This window comes from Homo sapiens, chromosome 15, assembly GCF_000001405.40.
Source record: "Homo sapiens chromosome 15, GRCh38.p14 Primary Assembly".
Lineage (NCBI taxonomy): Eukaryota > Metazoa > Chordata > Mammalia > Primates > Hominidae > Homo > Homo sapiens.
In genome coordinates, this window is record NC_000015.10 from 89,085,395 (window position 1) to 89,106,718 (window position 21,324).

General features: G+C 45.1%; 2 protein-coding genes across 16 annotated transcripts in view, besides 5 other annotated features; one reads left to right on the plus strand and one right to left on the minus strand.

The window, feature by feature from the left end:
* ABHD2 (abhydrolase domain containing 2, acylglycerol lipase) overlaps positions 1 to 21,324 on the plus strand; it is a 161,358-nt gene that overhangs the window by 44,397 nt on the left and 95,637 nt on the right. For 5 of the 15 annotated variants that reach the window (NM_152924.5, NM_001416422.1, NM_001416418.1 and 2 more), the window contains exon 1: positions 3,062 to 3,169. The exons of 2 other annotated variants lie outside the window; for them this stretch is intronic. The gene's annotated coding sequence lies outside the window, so the exon portion shown is untranslated. Of the gene's footprint in view, positions 1 to 3,061; positions 3,170 to 4,888; positions 4,979 to 17,105; positions 17,183 to 18,508; positions 18,651 to 18,787; positions 19,188 to 21,324 lie in introns of those variants that run through there. 8 more of the 15 variants (NM_007011.8, NM_001416413.1, NM_001416415.1 and 5 more) reach the window with 8 other exon arrangements.
* Positions 1,825 to 2,470: an enhancer, noted in NCBI's record as "H3K27ac hESC enhancer chr15:89630450-89631095 (GRCh37/hg19 assembly coordinates)". NCBI's record gives its function as "activates a minimal SCP1, AML or CMV promoter by ChIP-STARR-seq in naive H9 embryonic stem cells {active_cell/tissue: H9 hESC(naive)}" and the evidence as "EXISTENCE:reporter gene assay evidence [ECO:0000049][PMID:30033119]".
* LOC124903573 (uncharacterized) lies at positions 2,167 to 21,138 on the minus strand. Its single transcript, XM_047433432.1, has 7 exons — positions 21,046 to 21,138; positions 18,218 to 18,360; positions 6,782 to 6,847; positions 5,741 to 5,889; positions 3,441 to 3,538; positions 2,674 to 3,292; positions 2,167 to 2,547 (listed from the first exon to the last, which is right to left on the minus strand). Exons 1-7 carry the CDS (start codon positions 21,136 to 21,138, stop codon positions 2,333 to 2,335), a joined length of 1,383 nt encoding a protein of 460 aa, XP_047289388.1. The 3' UTR covers positions 2,167 to 2,332.
* Positions 3,081 to 3,260: an enhancer, noted in NCBI's record as "active region_10041". NCBI's record gives its function as "activates an Ori minimal core promoter by ATAC-STARR-seq in GM12878 lymphoblastoid cells {active_cell/tissue: GM12878}" and the evidence as "EXISTENCE:reporter gene assay evidence [ECO:0000049][PMID:35858748]".
* Positions 3,081 to 3,721: a biological region, named in NCBI's record as "H3K4me1 hESC enhancer GRCh37_chr15:89631827-89632346".
* Positions 3,202 to 3,721: an enhancer, noted in NCBI's record as "H3K4me1 hESC enhancer chr15:89631827-89632346 (GRCh37/hg19 assembly coordinates)". NCBI's record gives its function as "activates a minimal SCP1, AML or CMV promoter by ChIP-STARR-seq in primed H9 embryonic stem cells {active_cell/tissue: H9 hESC(primed)}" and the evidence as "EXISTENCE:reporter gene assay evidence [ECO:0000049][PMID:30033119]".
* Positions 16,275 to 17,474: an enhancer, noted in NCBI's record as "P300/CBP strongly-dependent group 1 enhancer chr15:89644900-89646099 (GRCh37/hg19 assembly coordinates)". NCBI's record gives its function as "activates an origin of replication core promoter dependent on BRD2, BRD4, P300/CBP, MED14 and CDK7 cofactors, with strong dependence on P300/CBP, by STARR-seq in HCT116 cells {active_cell/tissue: HCT116}" and the evidence as "EXISTENCE:reporter gene assay evidence [ECO:0000049][PMID:35650434]".

The following is a 21,324-nucleotide window of genomic DNA, read 5'->3' on the forward strand; positions in this document are numbered from 1 at the left end:
AATGATTTATAGAATGAAATAATATGATTAAACAGAATATGGCAAGACTGCAAGCAGAAGGGAGGAAACAGAAACCAGAGACAATTAAGGAAACAGTTCTGTGTGCTGGGAAATGATAATGGATCATTCTTTAAGCCTGCCAGAGCTGCAGAGAAGATGCCCGGATCCTTTTACTCTTCCTCCTCTTCCTGAGCTCAGTCTGTGCCTCTTTTTGAGCCTCTGTGACATAATTGTGTTTTAGAATTCCTGAACTGGAAAGATGTCCTTTTCTGGAACTGGTGGCTGAACCTATGTTCCTGAGATGGGAGAAAAAAGCCATTTACACAATGGCGAGCCCATCTGCAATCTACTCCTAACAGCTGCTTTTTGTGGCTCTGAATCAAGTTGGAGAAATCATCCTGGATCTCAGGAGCCACTTCATGCTTTTCAGGGCCTAACAAGACATCTCACTTTCCCTTAGCAAACACAGGCAGAAGCAAACCTGTATTGGGCTGGGCCTATTTCCGTAACATGCATGCAGCCATGTGTATGGCTACCAAGCAGCACTGTTTAAAGACAAGAACCAGAAAACTGTGGATCAGAACCAAATGTGTACATAGATATGTGTACACACCCCTCCAAAACTAGTGACAAATCTTTTTTGTTTTTTTTTTTCTGAGACAGAGTCTCACTCTGTCATCCAAGCTGGAATGCAGTGGTGCAATCTCACTGCAGCCTCTGCTTCCTGGGTTCAAACGATTATCCTGCCTCAGCCTCCTGAGTAGCTGGGATTACAGGTGTGTGCCACCATGCCCAGCTAATTTTGTATTTTTAGTAGAGATGGGGTTTCACCATGATGGCCAGGCTGGTCTGGAACTGCTGACCTCAGGTGATCCTCCTGCCTTGGCCTCCCAAAGTGCTGGGATTACAGGCTTGAGCCACTGTGCCCAGCCTATTTTTTAAATTATTATTAATTTTTAATTGACAAAATTTGTATATATTTATGATGTACAACATGCTTTACTTATTTATGTTTATCATGTTATTATGTTTATTTGTCAAACAAGGTCTCACTCTGTGGCCCAGGCTGGAGTGCAGTGGTGCGATCACAGCTCACTGCAGCCTCAACTTCCTGGGCTCAAACAACCCTCCTGCCTCAGCCTCCCCACTAGCTGGGACTACAGGCATGCACCACCACATCAGGCTAAATTTTAAATTTTTTGTAGAGACGGGGTCTCACTATGTTGCCCAGGTTGGTCTCAGACTCCTGGGCTCCGCCTCAGCTTCCCAAAATGTTGGATTACAGGCGTGAGCCACTGTACCGGTCCATGTTTTGATACATGTATACATTGTGGGATAGCTACACCAAGCTAGTTAACATATGCATTACCTTATATACTTATCTAGTGATAATCTAAAGCTCTTTTTTGGAAGTCCAAACTGTTTTAACTCAGAGTCAGGACGATGGGGTTCATCACTAAGAGACTTTGCTACTGAAGCCTGGGTTTTTCTTTTCCAAGATGAAAGAGAATACAGAGGAATATATAAACACTGAGATGAAACCTTTTTTTTTCAAGGTAACATGACAACTGAATGAAAAATAGAGCAATGGCAAAGGATTCTTTCTTCTCCTTCACTCTGATGTACCATGGCTGTGAGTTCTTTCAAAGACAGACACAAAGGGTCTGGGGCTACATTCAGGCCTGAGAAGCTATTTCTGTCCACACTCTGTGATGTCTACACCTTCAGAATGGGGAATGGGTTTCAGGGGTCTCTGACAGATAGAGCTCATGCAATGATTTCTGGTCCGGTGCTGATCAGCCTTCAAAGGATGTTATTTGGTTACGCTCCATAAAACTTGAGCCAGCCCACTGTTCCTTGTCACAACCTGAAATATGTTGGGAAAAATTTACATGGTAACAAATGCCACTTCCCTTCTCTGACTAAATCGCTCCTCTCATTTCATCCCCTGCTCCCTCTCTCCGAGCCCTATGGGGCCTTGGTAGGGTGGCCTTGTCTGCCCTACAGGGGTTGCATTTCAAGTCGCTCAAGTGTTCTATTCTTGGTACACGACATGCCATTGCAAAAGCAGTTTCAGGCTCATAGAATTTTAGAAATGGGCCTAGTTTCCCAGCCGGATGAGGTGAGTGGGTGATGGGGGAAGAATCAGCCTTGATTGAATGCCTGTTGAGTGCCAGCCACTGTTGGCATTTATCAGAGTTTATTTAATCTTCTCATCAACTACTATTGTTACCCTCAGTTGCCAAGTGAAGGGAGCATGCGGGAAGGTTAAGTGACTTGCCCAAGCCCACACAACCGGTAGGAGCCCCAATTCCAGGCCCTAGTTCCAAGGCTACATTCTTCCAGGCGGCCTCCAACTGGGTTGGTTAAGGGTTGAAAGGACAGTGGGACAATAACTGAGGCCCGTATTGCCCAGAGCGTCCCCATCCCCCGTCCGGAGCTGGAAGAGGCCATAGACCGCTGCCTCCACATCTTTTCCTCTCCTTCGGGTTCGGTGACTCACGACCCTTCTTCCTCTCTCCCGGGATATGACCTCAAATTTCACCCCTGCGAAATTTGAGTACACGTGAGTCAGTCAGTCGGCCTGGACCCATAAGAGCCCCAGCTGAGCTACCAGCAGCTGAGCTACCAGCCGACCTCATTCCTCTGAGCCCAGTCGACAGCTGACCTTACCCAGCCCTCTAAAGCAGTTTGCGGTCACAATTACCCGTCTCTTCACCCCGCCCCCATCGACATCAAACACGACCCACCTTCTAGCCCTCCTCCCCTTTCCCCGCCCACTCCGGGCTGGCCTTATCCAGTAGCGTCTGGGTCCCTGGACTAAAGCCGTCAAATGTAACCAATTGCTGAGGAGCTCTCCCCTAAGAATCCCGCCTCCACTCTGAGGAACAGCTTCGCTGATCAATGGATCCCCTCCTAGACGCAATGAGCGCGCGGGGCAAGTGGAGAAGCGGCTGAACTGCCCAATGAACAAGCGGTTTCCGTGGTTAGGGGCGTGGCAGAAGCGGTCGTCAGGGGCGTGGCGGCAGTTACTTGGGCGGGGCCGGTAGCGGCGGGAGCTGCACTGGCCAGGGGTTCCGGCTGTATATCCATGAGCGCCGCTGGCAGCCGGGGAGCTGCAGGAACCAGACTGGGGGCGAGCTGAGCACCTGTAGTCAATCACACGCAGGTAAAGCCACGGCCGAGCGAGCTCCGCGGAGCGGGGATCGCACCCCGGACCCGTCGAACCGAATCTCCGAGCCCCGAGGTCCCCGGCGTAGCTCGGCCCATCACGCCGCAGCCTGAGGGGATCCTGGGGGGCCTGTCATCTGGCGCCGTGGGGGTCCCAGGGGCTGGCTTGCCCAGTGGTGGGGACAGCCCAGATCGCGGCGGGGGATACGCCTTCCTGAGGCCCTTTGTCCCCTTCTGCCCGAGGAACCGAGGTTGGGGACAACCCCGACCGCGGCCTTTCCCCCATTGGTGCTCACTCCTGGGTCTTCAGGGGCCTGGGGAGGGGTCTGCCGGTTCAGGCTCGGCGAAGAAGGTCCGGGATCCGCACCTGGAAGGAGAGGGCCGAGGGGCCTGATTACAGCCCGAGATACCCGAGAGGCCTCTGTGTTTCGGGGCTCCAGGGGCTCACGCAGGACCAGTGGGTTTAAGTTCTAGAAAGGCAGCTTTTGACCCACTTGGAAGCACATTTACCGAGTTCGGCCCCGCGACCGGCACTGTTCTAGGCCCTTCGTGAGCTTTTCCCACAGCTAGAGCTGTCCAGCAGCGCAGGAGGCTGCCTGCCAGGCCGGGCAGCTAGCGCCTCGACCTTGGCGATGTCCAAGCAGTGGCCTGATGACAGCCACCTGTGTCGGATGCTTAGGACTCCCAAGGGAGGACTGCATGACCCATCTGTAAGGGCCTTCTCTACCCACAAATGCACTCTAAGTGGCCTTTGATGCCTAGCTTGAGAAGAGTACTTCTGGGGGTCCATTAGGTTCCAAGTGGCTGTTGAATTCACCCATAATGAATTTTGAGGTTTCAGCTCTCAAGAGTGGGTGTTAGCAAAGAGACTGGATTATACAAAAAGATAGAGGTTTATTTAGCCACTGTGAAACTCCTTGTATTTGAACTACCATGGACCGCTCTCTTAATCTTCCCAATCTCTCTTTTTTGGTTGCTGGACCTCCAGTTTGTCAGTTTCACCTGCATTCCAGTAACCAAATCCAAAGGCATGTTCCAAGAACAGGCTCCACAGAGGGACCTGGAGAGACTGCAGGTTTGGCAGAGTCAACAAGATCTGTGCCCAGAGCTTTTCGAAGGCCGTTTCCTTACAGCCACATTAAGCAGAGTCCAAAAGAGAAATCCTTCACTACCCTCTGTCATTTGCCGGAATAGAGAGAACATAATAATCTAAAGGTCAGGAGGCAGAGAAAGAATCTTAACACACCTTGCTGTGTGTTTTAGGATGAATTAATCTTTGAACATCTAGTCAGAAAGCAGTCCATATACAGCTGGTAGTCAGCACGGACTGTGACATTTTAGAGCTGAAGGCACCTTAGATAGAGCTCATCTCTATCTAAGTCTAATTAGGTGGACTCTCATTCAGTCTCCTCAATGCACAGGTGAGGAAACTGAGGCCTGGGGTGGTCACAGGGCTGGTTGGTCATCACAGGCCCATGACTAAGGGTTGATCTCTTGACTGTATTTAGATCTAGCCAGTGCATGACTTATTTCACTCCAAGCTTAGTTTGCCCATTCTCAGTGTTTTAAGTTCTAGGGGAGTCCAGAGAGGTTAGGAGGACAGATTTTGGTGCCTGAGTGCCTGGATTTGAATCCCAGCCCTGCCTCTTACTGGCTGTACAACCTTGGGCAAGCTACTTAACTTCTCTGTGCCTCTGTTTCCTCACCTCTAAAACAGAAATAATAATGATACTTATGTTAGAAGATTGTTTTGAGAAGTGCATGGAGTTACTACATCTGAAGCATTTAGAACAGTACCTGGCACAGGGTAAGCACAATAGATTTGCTAGATATGATATTCTGTTGCCTTTTTGTACATTTTTCTTCATATCCACCACCCAATACTCTATCAAGAGCTAATTTTTCCCCCAGTCCCCTTCCCCCCACCCCCAAATTCATTTAACATATTCCAGATTTCATTTTAACACAGACAGCTGCAAGGGGTTTCCAAGTCACGTTGCATTTTATACCTTACTTATTTTTGTGATTCAGGTAATTTAGTTTCTATGTTAGTTCCCCCTTGCAGTTACATTCTTCTTAGGCTCTGAACCCTTTAAAATTATCGTTAAAAGCAGGCAGTGAGGGGTGGGAATCCCTCGAAATGGTAAAGTCCTGGATGATACCCGTGTCCATGGTGTCCTTCCAAATATGTATTCCCTCTCTTCAGCCCTCCTCCCAAGCGATGAGTGTGATGCAGCTTGATTCTAAATGGATGAACATTTTTAGATTAAGATTTTATGAGCCACTGTATTAAGTGCTTTTCGGAAGTTCAGGGATCATGTGTCAACTGCATTTAAGGAAGTTACTTAGTCATTCGAATAGGGGGAGCACCAGCAGCGCCTGCCTGGCCTGGCAGAAGCAAAAGTGTGTGACTGATCCGTGCTGGCAATCTAGCTGGTTCACTGGTTTATCTGTGTTTTTCCTGTTCTTTTCCAAAGCTTGAAATAAACCAGATGGCAAGTACAAGGGAATGGTCTTTTTCCTCTCATTTTAGTCAGGGTCGTTCACTTTTTTCCCTTTTTACTCTCACCTTCATTTCCTTTATCGCCTGCGTGGGTCTGACAAATAGGCACTCTCAGTGTGCCAGCCAATTCCCTTTTGATGAAAAGATGCCTGCCACTTTCATTTTTTGCAGGAATCCAGTCACCTTTGATTTTCTCTTCTGTTTTTACTTGTTTTCTAGATTGAACCAAAGATTATCACTTCATTAAATGGCACCTTCTCATGCTTTATTTTTCTTGAGTTGATTCTGAATTTCGGTTTTTGTTTAAGCTGTTCTAGAGATCAGCCATTTTAGAATAATAGTTTTCATTTCTTTGCTTGTGTATTAATATGGGCCCCTTTCTCTCTTTCTCACTCTCTTTTCTCAGTATTTTGGTGGATGAGCTTCTCATTTGCTGTTACTCGTTGCTTTAAGCATTTACGCCTTTTCCTGGTAATCTCCGGCAGGACCCATAACCTCTGTAGTGGTTCTCACTGCCCTTGTTCAGAGCTCCTGCCCCGAGCAGGAAATAATTTCTTTGGTCTTATGGGAGACAGGGGTAGAGTCTGTCTTATTTTTTGCCTAAAATCTGGCTCTTTTAAAAGCCCCAGGAGAGAGACATTTCCAATATAATTGAATTTTGTGTGGCAGAATTTCTACCATGACCTACAGCTTACAGTATTCCCATTTTTATTGCATTGTGAGTTTTGAGTACTCCATGACCAGTTTCAGAGTATAGATGATGTGGGGCATGAGTTGCTTTAGCCTTTCTGTTTCATCTTGGGCTAAGCTATCCCCAGGAACAGAGCAATGAGAAGTTCAGGGTGCCTCTTAAATGTGTCTGGTGTCAGGATTTTATAGCAGCTTTTCATGGTTCAGCCTTTTTGGCCAGTGCATGAGTAGGACATTTTTAAGCCCTGTGCTGCTGTTTCTTTGTTGATACCATACAGATGCTACATTATCTCCTTTCAGGATTTTCATATCTGCAGATTGATTTTTGTTGTCTTGTCCAGGGCATCATATTTTTGGATTGAATGTTTTCTGTTTGTAAAATGGTTGGTGTGGACAGACGATAAGCTCCACCATTACCCCTGAAGCTTGTGGACTGGGGCCATTTGGGTGAGGGGCTTGTTACACACCGACTCATTGTCTGATCTTTCACAATAAATAGCAGACAGGTGAAGAGCTTTTTAGAGAAGTGGAACGTTGGTACCCTTGGATTTGCCTGGTTTCTGATTTTCTTTTGTTGTCTTTAAGTGGAGGTTCATTAAGTTCAACAAATTAAGCATCTGGTGTGTGCCAGGAACACAGTTGACAAGATTAACAAATTAGTTTGGTTTGTTGCTTAAAAACTATTTTGTTTTAAAATTGTTTTTAATAGAAATTTTAAAATTTTTTAATTCAAATTTTAGTTTTTAAAAATAGGCAATACATTCACATGATGAAAGAAAATTTTTTAAAGGCACAAAAGGTTAACTAGTAAATACATCTGTGTGTACCCCTGACCCCTGATCCTCAGAGGCAACCAGTATTAGCGATTTCTTCATCCTCCAGAAGTGGTCCCTGAACTTCCAAGGGATTTTATACATCTGTAAGCAAATTCGTTAAACATATTCTGTACACCACCCCTTTTTGCAGAAATGGTAGCACACTGCATACATGCTATTTGGAACCTTGCCTTTTTCACTTAATATTTCTTGGCAGTGTGAAAAGAGCTTCCACGTCATTTTTTATGAAGGCCGTCTATTTTAGATATCTGTTTTCTGTTTCTAAGGATGCTAAAAAACAGTCTTATTTAGGCAGCAGCTTTGCTGGAGATCTTAAAGATCTTGTGAATATTTGGAGGCAAATATTTTTCTTTTCTGTGAGAGCCCGGGGGAGGTGCAGGGGAGCTTCTAAAGGTCAGCTGAGAAGGGAGAGCTGGGGCACTGGAGAGTGAGGAACGCATTGGTCCTTGGGCCCTTCTTCGCCTTGCCGTCTGTGCAGAATGTGCTAGCATTTCCAGGGAAAGTTTGCCGTTTGCTCTCTGTTCTCCAGAGAAGCTTCCTGGCCTCCCCAAGTCACATTTCCAGCATCTTTTTTCATTCTTTTTTTTTTTTTTTTTTTTTTTTGAGACAGAGTCTCACTTTTGTCTCCCAGGCTGGAGTGCAGTGGCGCAATCTTGGCTCGCTGCAACCTCTGCTTCGCGGGTTCAAACGATTTTCCTGCCTCAGCCTCTCAAGTAGCTGGGATTACAGGCACACGCCACCACCCCCAGCTAATTTTGTATTTTTGGTAGAGACAGGGTTTCACTATGCTGGTCTCAAACTCCTGACCTCAGGTGATCCTCTTGCCTCAGCCTCCCAAAGTGCTGGGATTACAGACGTGAGCCACCGTGCCTGGCCTCATTTCCAGCATCTCTGTTGCATTTCATCCCGTCTCCTGCACCACAGCATCACTCCATTTGTCCTGCCTTTGGGCGTCCAAGAGGAAGCCTGCCCTTTGTCACAGCACTTTCTGTTTGGGTAGCTTTAAGTGTCTCACCCCTTCTTTTCTCTCACCCCAGGAAAAACCAGCTCTCACACCTGCTCCTCTGTAAAGCGTCTTCCCCAAGCCCACACGTAATTTTGTTGCTGTCCTTGAAAGTATTTCCCAAGATCTCCAAACCGCTTTAAACTTCCAAGGTCTGAGCCTGACCTGGCCTCGCTAACAAAGGGTTCCACTGATGCCGACTCTAAGAAGAAAGTTTTCAAGGTTCTTCGTATTTGAACTTTCTATGGCTAGGCTTATGTTTAAAATAACCACACTGATTTAAACATGGTCTTATAGTCTTCAGTGGCTCCCAGGTCTTGCCTCTCGGGTTTTTTTTCCTCTTTCCTTTGAATGTGCCTTAACCTTCGTCTTGCTTTTATTTACCTCTGAGTCTGGTTTAGAGCCACCTGGAAATTGAATGGAATCTTTAGTCTATTAGTCTAATCTAGAGTCCTTACCTTCTGGCCTTTGCTCATTGCAGAGCCCCCACATTATTAGTCAGTTGTACCACAGATACTGTGTTACATAAGGTGAGGAGAGGGAGGTGGTGTTATCAGTTCCACTTTTTCCAGGCTAGAGTGCAGTGGCCCGATCTCGGTGCACTGCAACCTCTGCTTCCCGGGTTCAAGCGATTTTCCTGCCTCAGCCTCTCATTTTATCTTGGATAAAAGAGAAGCTTTGAAAGATTGCCTCCCTATGTGTACAGTCACTGTAGGCATGTATTTGTGTACTGTTTACTTAGTCATGTCAATGAGGGCAATAAAAAACAAAAATCAGGAAGCCCAACATGGATTGCTACATTTTAATTCTTTCAAATAAGGAAATACAGCAGGGCTTGGTGTCACTACGCCTGTAGTGACAGCACTTTGGGAGGCCGAGGCGGGCGGATCACCTGAGGTCAGGAGTTTGAGATCTGCCTGATCAACATGGTGAAACCCCGTCTCTACTAAAAATACAAAAATTAGCTGAGCATGGTGGTGTGCGCCTGTAGTCCCAGCTACTTGGGAGACTGAGGCAGGAGAATCACTTGAACCCAGGAGGCAGAGGCTGCCGTGAGCCAAGATCGCACCACTGCACTCCAGCCTGGGCGGCAGAGCAAGACTCCGTCTCAAAACAGCAACAACAACAACAACAAAAACAAATAAGGAAATACAAAAGCCCTGTCATCTAAAAAGATATTTTAGCCTGGGTGCGGTGGCTCACACCTGTAATCCCAGTACTTTGAGAGGCCGAGGCAGGCGGATCACTTGAGACCAGGAGTTCGAGACCAGCCTGGCCAACATGATGAAACCCCATATCCACTAAAAATACAAAATATTAGCCGGGCATGGTGGTTCACACTCAGAATCCCAGCTACTCGGGAAGCTGAAGCAGGAGAATCACTTGAACCCGGGAGGCAGAGGTTCCGGTGAGCCAAGATTGAGCTACTGTACTCCAGCCTGGGTGACAGAGCAAGACTGTGTCTCAAAAAAAAAAAAAAAAAAAAAAGATATTTTAGCACCAAAAATGTTGGAAGATCAATATCTCAGATTAAAGAGCACCTTCTAACCAGGACATATTTAGCTTACTAAAAAGGTTGAGTTAATGGCCATTGAATTATGCTGTTTGGGAGGGCCTAAAGTCGAGGATTCTACTCAAGGAGAGGTTCCTCTTTTGCAGTTTCCTTAAACAATGCTCGTTACTCTTTTTCTGGGAAATCAGGCCATTGATTTAGTTTAGTTAACCTAACTGCAGCAGCATTTGGCGGGGCTTTGCGCCCAGTTTTTCAGGTGGTACAGACTACACAATGTTGATATGCAATTGTAGCACCTTATAGTGAGGTGAACTTATACTGGAAATCGTTCTTTGAATCCTGAAGCCTGGATTTGTCATGTTTGAAGTGCCACGTTTTAGTTCTTAAGGACTGAGGAGTGGGAGGGGGCTGAGGTGAGACCCCAGCAACCTGCTGGAATTAAGTAAGGCTCTTCAGTGGTATTTACACATAAGTTCTTTGGAAGCATGTACTTAAACTTACTAAATCCATGATTTGGTATGCCCGGTAATGGCCCAGATGGCTTCTGAGATACAGCATGACCTCTCTTCCGTGTCCCCACCACACTTTTTGCTTTCCTCGTGTAGCACCATCACATTCATTTTGTGCTATGGATTTCCCAATCCAGGGCTGAGGATGTGTCCTTGAGGTTCCTTGGGTTCTCATTAGATTACAAACTCAGACGTTTTGGTTTCGTGTTAATGATAATTGAAAATGTTTTACAAGCCTGTCCTGGAATGTTGGGATACCTAATTATAATATCAAGGTGCACCCACGTCGTCTCAGTGCCTCCCCCGTTTGTATGTGAATTTCTGATGAATTGAAGCCAGGTAAACCCCACTATAGAGAAAAATACAGAGATGAACTTCGCGCAGAAAAGATATGAGAGCATCATGTGAAGTCAAATGATACCACACAGCACTGTGTAAATGAAGGCTGTAGCAGTGGTCCCAGCGAGAAAAGGAGTGTGAGAATGGACTTGTCACACTGTACCTGTCAGTGTAGGCTCTCGGGATCCATAGAACCTGCCCAGGCACAGGCAGGACCACACTGACATTGTCTGCAGGTATTTCAGGTCTGAAAAATGGCATTAGTCTCATTACATTAATGTAGCTCATCTGAATTTACTGTTTGAGTAATTTTATGTTTTTATAAATGTGCCTGGATCTCTGTAATCGTAAAAGTGCCAAAGGAAGTTTATGCTCCATACTGAGTACTATTTGTACTGTTTGTGCATTTTAAGAAATAATATAATAAATAATAGTTGGATAAAAGTAGTTTAATTTAAATTTAAGAATGGAACACAAAGTAATGTAACCAGGGGCATCTGGCAGGACTAGTTTTTCCCCTCAGAGGAAGCCATTTGGTACCTGAGTTTGAAAGACCCCAGTGCAGGAATCGAAGCTCTGGGAGGCAGACAGAGGTTTCCAGTCATGTTTGTGTCATTCATATGGCTCCTTTCCATGTGCTGACCATTTGAGAAATATTAGCTGAGTTGAAGAGTTAATTGACATAATTGGTTTTCTGCCTTGAGGTCCTGTCTGTTCGGACCCTGAAAGTGATAAAGTTATTTGGAGAACTTGAGAAACACTCCCAAAGAGAGTGACAAAAGTTACTTATGGGTTTGGGAAAGACACTTTACAGGGGAGCAGGTACAAGTCATCATACCCGTTTGTACGTGCAGCCAACACTTACCTTCTACATTAATGAAAGGAAGACTTCCAAAACTAATTTCTCTGTTTCTTTTTGTTTGTTTATTTTTGGAGTGAGTGATAAAGGTTTCTTGTTGATATTTGCGTGACCTAAACTCTTGCCAGAATTGCAGTAGCTGGCAGCAGCCTCAAGTTTATTTTCCACAGGCAACTCATCAGCCCAGGGACAGTAGAGGCTTGATCGCAGCTGAAAGTTGGGGTGAGCTTGGGCCTTTGTGACTAGCAGGACTGTTTGTCATATTGCTAAATAATCACTCATTCATTTATTAGCTTTTTATTCTGGGAATTTTAAAGATATACAGAAGTAGAGAGAATCATATAATGAACCTCCAAGCCCCACAAAACCCATCCCAGCTTTAACAATAATCAACTCATAACCACTCACATTTACTCTGTCTTCCTAGCTACTTCTCCCAGCTCACATTAATTTTGAAATAGATCCCAAACATCATATAGTTGCATCTGTAAATATTTCCATGATAATTCTTAAATATAAAGACTCCTTTGTTAAACACCCATTATTACTCTTTGAAAAATTAACACTAATCCTTTAATATCATCAAATATCATCATTGTTCAAATTTCCAATTGTTTAAAAATGGCATAAGTGTTTTTCTCCTTAAGCTTAATTTTTGTGAGTTAGGATTCAAGTAAGGATTAGACATTATGATTGATTGCTCTACCATTTATGTCTCTTTTAAGCTATAGGTCCCCTTTTCTTTTCTTTTTTCTTCTTTTCCCTGTAATTTGTTGGAGAAACTGGGTAGTCTGTCCAGTAGAGGTATTTGTTTACTTTTGACAGATAACGCATTCATGTGTTATAACATTCAAAAGGTACAACATAGTAAAGAGTGGAAAACTTCCTCCCAAGAAGCACTCAATGTTACTAGTATCTTGTATATTTTTTCAGAGATCTTTTATGTGTGTCCCAGCAAATGTGTATGCATCTATATTCTTTTTCTTTCTTTTTTATATAACTGGTAGCATATTGTACATGTTGTTCTGCTCCTTGTTTTAGTCACTTAACATGGAATTATACATGTTAGCAAATTTCTTGTTTTTTCTTTTTTGAGACAGTCTCACTCTGTCACGCAGGCTGGATTGCAGTGGCAGGATCTGGGCTCACTGCAGCCTCCACCTCCTAGACTCAAGTGATCCTTCCACCTCAGCCTTCCCAGTAGTTAGGACTACATCACACCCAGCTAATTTTTGTGTTTGTTGTAGAGATGGGGTTTCACCATGTTGCCCAGGCTGGTCTCAAATTCCTGAGCTCAAGTGATCCACCCACCTCAGCCTCCCAAAGTGCTGGGATTACAGATGTGCGCCATGGCACCCAGGCAAATTTTAGCAAATTTCTACATATATTGTTTGGCATCCTATTACTTTTTCTCATGTATTCAATTATGTCATTACTATTTCCTAAAAATTGAGGGACATACAATATTCCTAGGATTATGTGATTGTGCTAGAGTCCTCACAGCTGGGAAATGTTCTTTTTTCTCATTCAGAGAATGAGAAAAATTCAGAGTTCAGCAGGCATTTATTGAGCTCTTTCCCTGCTGGACGCTGTGCCAGACACTCTGTCCTGAGGAGTTTCCCTGGGGCCTGAACACCCTGTGCCCCACTATGGGCCATAGAGGAGGCTTTCCACAGTGCTAACTGAGCTTCCAACCCCTTCCAGCTCCTTGTGTGGCCTGAACTGTATTCACACTGTAGACATTAGCTTCTCAGGTTCCAAATATCCTGGCTGCAGTTCCCTCCTCTATTCTGATCATGTAAATAAAGTGCTTGCTCATTCTTGTCAATGATGTTGACAAATGTACCCTTCTAAATAGTGGGATGATGGAAAATGCCGAGTAGATTATAGCCAAGGATATTTTTCCCAATTTAGAAAACATAGTTCCTTTCCCTCCATCTATCATTAATATCACCCATCAGTCTATTTATTGACTCTACATATAAATTCTGGATGTTGCACTGACATCGCAAGAGAAATCAGCACTTTGCCACAAAAGAGCTTATAAGAGGAATGCAGATTTCTTTAAGTCTCTTATGGATGAGCAGAGAGGCCTCATGGAGCTTCTGTAAAGCTGAATTATCAAGGCTGAAGTGATCAGAATCCATCCAGCTCTGCAAACAGCTTATAAGATGGATGGGTGCCTTGCTTCTCTGTATTCCTAGAGCCTCACCAGGGCCTGGCACAGGGAGGGTCCCTGGTCCTCAGTTTCCTTGCCTGCATTAATAGTAACTCACAGCGGTTGTGAGCACCAAATGAGGTAATGTCGGAGGATGCACTTTGTCAGTAAGTTAGGCATTCAGTCTTCACTGTCAACACAAATGCATTCTGTGACATGTTTGAGGAGTAAATGAGGTAATGTATTAAAATCACGAACACTTTATAAACGATAGAGCTACACAAATAGGACATTTTCTTATCATCCAGCTTTGTTCCTTCATTTAAAGTTATCATGATTTGGCCAGGCTCAGTGGCTCATACCTGTATAATTCCAGCACAGTGGGAGGCTAAGGTGGGAGGATCACTTGAGGCCAGTAGTTGGAGACCAGCCTGGAAAACATAGTGAGACTCCATCTCTGCAACAACAACAACAACAAGAAATTTTAATTAGCCAAGTGTGGTGGCACATACCTGCAGTCCCAGCTACTCGGGAAGCTGAGGCAGGAAGATCACTTGAGCCCAGGAGTTCAGAGTTGCAGTGAGCTATGATTGCACCACTGCACTCCAGCCTGGGTAACAGAGCAAGACCTTGTCTCTATAAATTAAAATAAATAAATAAAAGGCGGGGTGCAGTAGCTCATACCTGTAATCCCAGCACTTTGGGAGGCCGAGGTAAGTGGATCACTTGAGGCCAGGAGTTCAAGACCATCCTGGCCAACATGGTGAAAAATATAAAACTAAGCTGGGCATGGTAGTGCACACCTGTGGTCCCAGCTACTCGGGAGGCTGAGGCATGAGAATAGAATTGCTTGAACCCGGGAGGTGGAGGTTGCAGTGAGCCAAGATCATGCCGCTGCACTCCAGCCTGGGCAGCAGAGCAAGACCCTGTCTCAAAAAATAAGTAAATAATAAAGATACAGTGATTTAAAGATAACAGTATCAGAGCCAAAGAACAATACTAGATTCTAGGATGAGAGTCTTTACCCTAACTTATGGTTCACAGATTTAATATTTTGTCTGGGCAGCCGGTAGAGGAGCTTATGGTCTGGAATGGGAGAAGGAACGTGTGTGTGATCCATGTTACCTGTAGAAGACATTTAAATTAGCATTGATCATGATTGCTCACAGGCAAGTCAAGACCAGACTAACCAGGCTTGAGGACCCAGACATTTGGCTCTGGACTGGGATCTTCCAGCCTTGGTGAATGAAGTCTCTCCTTTGTCTTCTCTGGTGAGCACACCACTCCCAAGTTCACATTGTGTTGTTAATTTTTTTTTTTTTTTTTAAGAGACAGGGTCTTACTCTGTCACCCAGGCTGGAGTGCAATAGTGCGATCATAGCTCACTGTAGCCTCAATCTTCTGTGCTCAAGTGATCCTCCCACTTGCCCGAAGCCACACAACTAGTAAGTAGTGTAGCTGCAGTTCAGGTCAAATCTGTCTGTGTCCAGATCCTGCAAGTAGCCTCTCTACCCCACCACCAATGTACATCTACAGAAAGCATCTCAATGAAGCAGAAATCTTTGTAGAAATATTTTTCCATTCTCCTTAGATGTTAAAAAGGAACCTTATTGGCCAGGCAAAGTGGCTCACGCCTGTAATCCCAGCACTTTCGGAGGCTGAGGTGGGTGGATCACGAGGTCAGGAGTTCGAGACCAGCCTGGCCAACATAGTGAAACCCTGTCTCTACTAAAAATACAAAAAATTAGCCAGGTGTGGTGGCGGGCACCTGTAATACCAGCTACTCGGGAGGCTGAGGCAGGAGAATTGCTGGAACCCAGGAGGCGGAGGTTGCTGTGAGCTGAGATGTGCCATTGCACTCCACCCTGGGCCACAGTGAGAGACTCCATCTCAAAAAAAAAGGAACCTTATTTTATAATTTCACCAGCCTTTTAATCTAGGTTAAACTACAGTTAATGGTATTGAGTTTTATATTTTCTGGACCAAATAAGCTCATGTCAGTTGGAGAATACCATAGACAATTTTGTTGCATTGTATATTTTGGAGAGAATAGCAGAAATCATGAGTCTTCTAATGGTATTTCAGTATTTAACTGAATGTCAACAATCAATGGGTAGATTTCCATCTACTTTCTATTTGCGGGCCTTTCCTTTCTTCTGCTACCTCCAACATCCTGTTTTAGCTTTGAATATATTTCTTTATTTGTGAGACAGCAGTTTCTGGAGTAGATCTTTGAGCCCAGTGAGATGTTCTTGAGACAAATGGGGAAAGTGTGAAAGAAATATGCCTTGGGACAGTAACTCCTCTGAGCAGTGGAAAGTGAAAACTCTCATTTTTGGATGGATAATTATTTGCTTGAACTTTGAGATGTTCTTTAAATATCCAAAAGCTGCTGACAGCCCAGGCCACAGTGAGCTTTCTCTCCTGATGTACAGTGGCGTGGCAATTACTCATAAAGGCCTGTACCTCTCCGCCCAATGTAATAATCTGGTAAGAAACTTCTGTTCAGAGAACCACAATGATAATGCTTTAGGTTAATGCCACAGACTTAGTCAATTAGTAAATATTTACAGTGTCCACTATGCACTCAACACCCTAAATTTAAATTTGTGTAGAATTTAAACATGAGGACTGAATTACAAGTACATAGGTCAGAACCCCCAACAGAGATGAAAGAGATATGAATCATCACTTTTATGCAGAGAAGAGACTAGCAAATGTTCTAGTTATAGAGGGTGGTTACACAGTGTGAAGGTGAGAAATAGTATGATTTTTAGGGCCTGGAGGGGATGGGCCCCCAGTGAATATCTTTGTATGGTTCAGCAGGTTGTACAAAACTAGTTAGATGCCATCAAGGGCTTGCAGTGGGGCTCAAATGGTGAACGTCAGTGCTTGTCCAACATCGCCATGGGTCAGGTTACTTGTAGCCAAGTAAATGCTTCTCACACCTATGACCTCACTTCAGCCCCTCATATGAACAACAGTGCACAGCCCTATGCGCACAGCCAAGGCAGCACCTGTGTAGCGTCATTTTCCAGGCTGATGTCTGGAATTCCCCTTGTAAGTAAAGCACTGAAGCTTCATTCCATAATGACTCACTGCCACTGCTCCAAAACACACCCCTCTTGTCCATCTGCCCATTTCCTGACCGCCCAGCATTCTTGGGCCTTGGCTCAACTGTGAGCCCAGCCTGACGTCTGCATCCACCCCTCCTTCTCACCTTCTCTTCTATTCCATCTCTTCCAGTGGTTCCCAGCTTTGAGTCCACCTCCTTCTTCTTTCTGCCTCCTTTGTTTGAACTCCTCTAGTATTTATAGTTGGTACTTCAGAGTTTAGTACTTCATTATATACAGATTTGTTGTACTATTTTCCAATTGTTTTATGGATGCTGTGTATCATACTTCTTTCATAGCCCCCACAGAGGTTAGAGTGATGTCTTTCGTCCCTGTGGGGAGTGAGGTGGAATGTCAGGAGGGCGTAGTTTGCAAAACATCCCTCCCAGTGGTACTGATGCCTTTTCGCAGGTTCTGTCCTCTTCATTTGCAAGCCACTGCTTTATCCACGAGGGTGCTCCCTACTTATGCCAGTGAATTAATTTTTGGTAAGTGGGGTAATTTTCTTTCCTAATCTCAGAGTAATATTTCTGCCATTTTTTATGAAACCATCTTCCTTGATGGCCAGTTCCTTGCCTCCCAGGAAACTGATGAGGAGGCAAGACGAATGTATTGGGAAAGCCCAGCGGAGGAAGAGCTCCTGAGGAGTGAGTGGCGTAGCTATCTGCTTCATGTGGGGCGCTCCTGCTCTGCAGTGTAGAGTATTTTTTAGGTGGACTAGGAGCAAATGCCTGCCTGATACAGGCAACGTTTGCACAAAAACCCAAAGGAAGAAGGCTGCTGGTAGGCTAGGGGTGGCAGGTGGGATTGCCCTTGGGCTTTAAAGAAGGCTGAGAAAACTTACTTCCAGAGTGGGAGGCAGGAGGAGTGAGCCTTGGAACAATAGTGGAGTGTTTGTGGTGGACGGACGGGAGAGAGGAACACTTGAGGGCATGAACTTACTTCTGTCTCTTTACTTGAAAAAGCAATCCACTGAGCTAAGACCCTAAAATACATCAACCCAGAGGGCTTCCTTTCGAGTTTTTAGTTTTTAGATCATTCGGTATCCTCAATGCAAAGATGTGATAAAGTCAAGCTCAGGACTACTTGGGGACCAATTCTCATCCTCCTCATGTGTTACAATTCCTTAGCAGTTGCTTTAAAACTAACATTTTTCTAATCTTGAAATATTTAATAAAGCAGCTTTCTGCTAAAGAGCTGAAAGCATTTTACGAACCTTATCTTGAGGATATCCGTGCATATTTTATTATTTTAAGTCATTTTTTTTAGCCTACAGAATTTCATCAACTTCTTTCCTTCAGTTACACGTAAAGTAACCTCCCTTCCCCCATTTTATAGAAGAAAAAACAAATCTTCATAATGTTTAGATAATTCACCCAAGGTCACTTGGCAGAATCTGGAATCAAACGCAGGTCTCCTGGTTCCAAAACCTTCGCCCCTGTGTCATTCAGTTATATCACATGGACTCTTAAGTTAGGCCTCAAAATCCTCCAAAAGTGCAAGTGATCTGCCCAGAGCTGTACAGCACAGAATGTTCAGGGGGGTAAGGGTTGGAATAACTCCAGATGGCACTGGAGACAAGTAGTGTAGAGACACAAATGGGATCCTCTCCCTCCTCTGACATCCAGAATCCAGAATCTCTGGGTCTTTCCACTTGGGTTGTGACCTACAAGTTGGGGGCAAAGCTCTTTAGCTCTCATAATCAGCAGGACTGATGGCGGAAGCTGGGCAGGGCTCCCTGGAGGCCCAGTGTTGGGCTGGCATGTTCAGCACCAGATAGGTGCCTATCTCACAATATCCCTTTTTCATTTCAGGCACAGATGAATCCTTCATATTTATCTGGATTTAGCTGGTAGCATTTGTCTCCTAAGACTTGGTCACAGAGGAATCCATGTGACCTTCAGGCCTTCTGCTCTAAACTGGCAGGAGATCCTGTTTCTACTCACAGCGTCCGAGGTATTTATAAAACAGAAATAAGTAAAGCATGCCTCAAAATGCTGTGCACACTATGTACTGTTGCCCCCAGAACCTTCTCTTGGTCTTGGAGGGCAAGGATCACAGAGCTTTTTCTGCTGTCTCTCCCTGTGTAACAGGGTCTGGTGGCCGAGCCCTGAGGGGCGCTGTTGCTCCCAGGTGGCAGAATTCAGCATCAGAGAGCCACACAGCTGAAAGAGATGGATGGGTGAGTGACCTCAGCTTTGCCCAGCTGGGGTGAGTGGGCCGAGCAAGTCTCTCCTTTGGCAAAATCATCTGGGCTTGTTCTCATCCCTGCTGAATTGGCAGGGGAGGAGAGGGTCGTGGCCCATTGGTCATTGGTCGGGTTTCCTCACAAATGCCTGCCATGGTGAAATGCAAGACTGTTAGAGTGATAATGGGCTGCACGTGTTAATGCTGTCATCACGGGCCCCACAGTGTGTATTAGCCAAGTACTGGGGGCACTGGGAGCCTTGTCTGCTCCCAGTCGGCGTTGGGAAACCAGAACGCTCAGGAACGGTGAGTCCCAGTTATTTTTATTTTCTCATTAACTGAGAGTAGCTGTAAGTCCTTTTCTGTTGCAGGTCTGGGTGAAACTTTCTTCTTTGCCTGCCTTAGGGAGTTAGATGGGTTGAGTGGTTCTTCAGGCAACGGTTGTGCCAGGCACTGGGTCTTGCCCTCCCACCCCCATCTCCATTTCCTCCTTCTGGAAGCTTATTTCCAGACATAGAAGAGTGGGTGGCATCTCTATGGTGCCCAGGACAATCAATCTGGAGATGCCCTCTTCTTCAGTTGTATCCTTCTCTTAAAAATTCCAGTAAACTAGGCACTTGAGCTCATTGGGTTCTGGTAAACTGCAATTTTGCTTCTGATATTACAGAATTTAATTATGGTGTAGATTTTTAAAAATATGTTTAGGATAAATCTCACAATTCATATGCCTGTTCTCTTAGAAAATCTAGAACCTCCCTAGAGGAAACACCTGGCGTAAGATTTTTTTGTTTGTTCTCAGGTATGGATTCATGGTTTCTCAGTGAAAGAGAAAACAATTTTGCCTGTGATTTTACTAAGTGCTTTACCCATTCGTTCTCTCATAGCCAGTACTATTCTTTCAGCAGGGTTATTTGCTAGTGGAAGAGGCCAGCTTCCTTTCAGTATTTTAGTAAGGGCACGTAAAAGTGCCCGATTAAATGTTCCTGTTTAACTGGTGACTCAGTCTTCAGACATTTTTAGTTTGGTAACTTTCTTTGTGGAAGCTCATGGGTTAGTAGCCATTCCTGACATTTAAATGTGAGGTTCACGTTTTCCTGCATTGGGTAACTTGACTCCCCCTGAGAACTTGTAGACTATTTTCTGAAATTCCAGCAGATTGAGTGTGTGACCTTATGACTTTGTGGAAGAAATATGGCTAAATAAAACTGTTATCACATGAGTAGGTTTGCACAGAAAGACAATTTCAAGGACTTATCTTGAATACAACAAAGGGCAACCTTGCCGTAAATACATTTAATTATCTGTCAATCCCTCCAGTTCTCTTCTACTAAATTGTGTGTGACTTGATGATCCCTTCACCTTGTAGGACCTGGTTTGTAAGAGATGGACTGGATCAACCAAGGGCTTTATCCTTCCTTGTTATGGTAACCCACTCCCGCCCTTTCAGGGCAGTCCCTGGCTTGAGTTAGTTAATGTTCAAAAATCAGTGTTTCTCAGCATCTCTGGAAAACAGGATTGGCCCTATTGTTTCCAGGGCTTTCCCATCCCTTCTGGCTTGAGGTGGTGGTGGTGGTGAGAGGAGGTCTTTTTTTTTTTTCTTTTAAACAATAGAGACGGAGTTTCTCCATGTCACACAGGCTAGTCTTGAACTCCTGGGCTCAAGCAATCCACCCTCCTTGGCCTCCCAAATGGCCAGGATTATAGATGTAAGCCACTGTGCCCAGCCGAGAGGTGGTCTTTTAAAACCCAGAGTATTGGCCAGGTGCAGTAGCTCACGCCTGTAATTCCAGCACTTTGGGAGGCCGAGGCAGGTGGATCACCTGAGGTCAGGAGTTCGAGACCAGCCTGGCTAACATGGTGAAACCCCGTTTTTACTAAAAATGCAATAAATTAGTGGGGCATGGTGGCACCCACCTGTAATCCCAGCTACGCCAGAGGCTTGAACCCAGGAGGCAGAGGTTGCAGTGACCTGAGATTGTGCCATTGCACTGCAGCTTGGGCGACAAGAGCGAAACTCCATCTCAAAAACAAACAAACCCAGAGTATTTGAGCACCGTGATGACTCCATTCCACAGAACCCTCTGTGGGAGGACACGTGGTCCTAGACCAACACCGATTTGCTAAAAGGTGGGTCTGTGAGCTGCTGGCTAAGGTGCTCACTCACCTCATTAGACCTTACCGAGAGTGAGAACAGGGCCGGGTCGCCAGGGCTGTGCAGTTCCCGAAGCCTCCTGGCTATGTTCTGAGGCTCTCCCATCCCATGGCAGTGAAAGACTCAGAGGACACAAAGGCACAACTCAGACGGGGATGGCTAGGCCTTCTCCCCAAAATCATCTGGGCTTGTTTTCGTCCCTGCAGAATGGTTTTTTTCCCCCTATGATGGCTCTGACTAATTTAGTTAAATGGCAGATAAAGTGGGGAGAAGGTGGCCCATTTCCTCCTT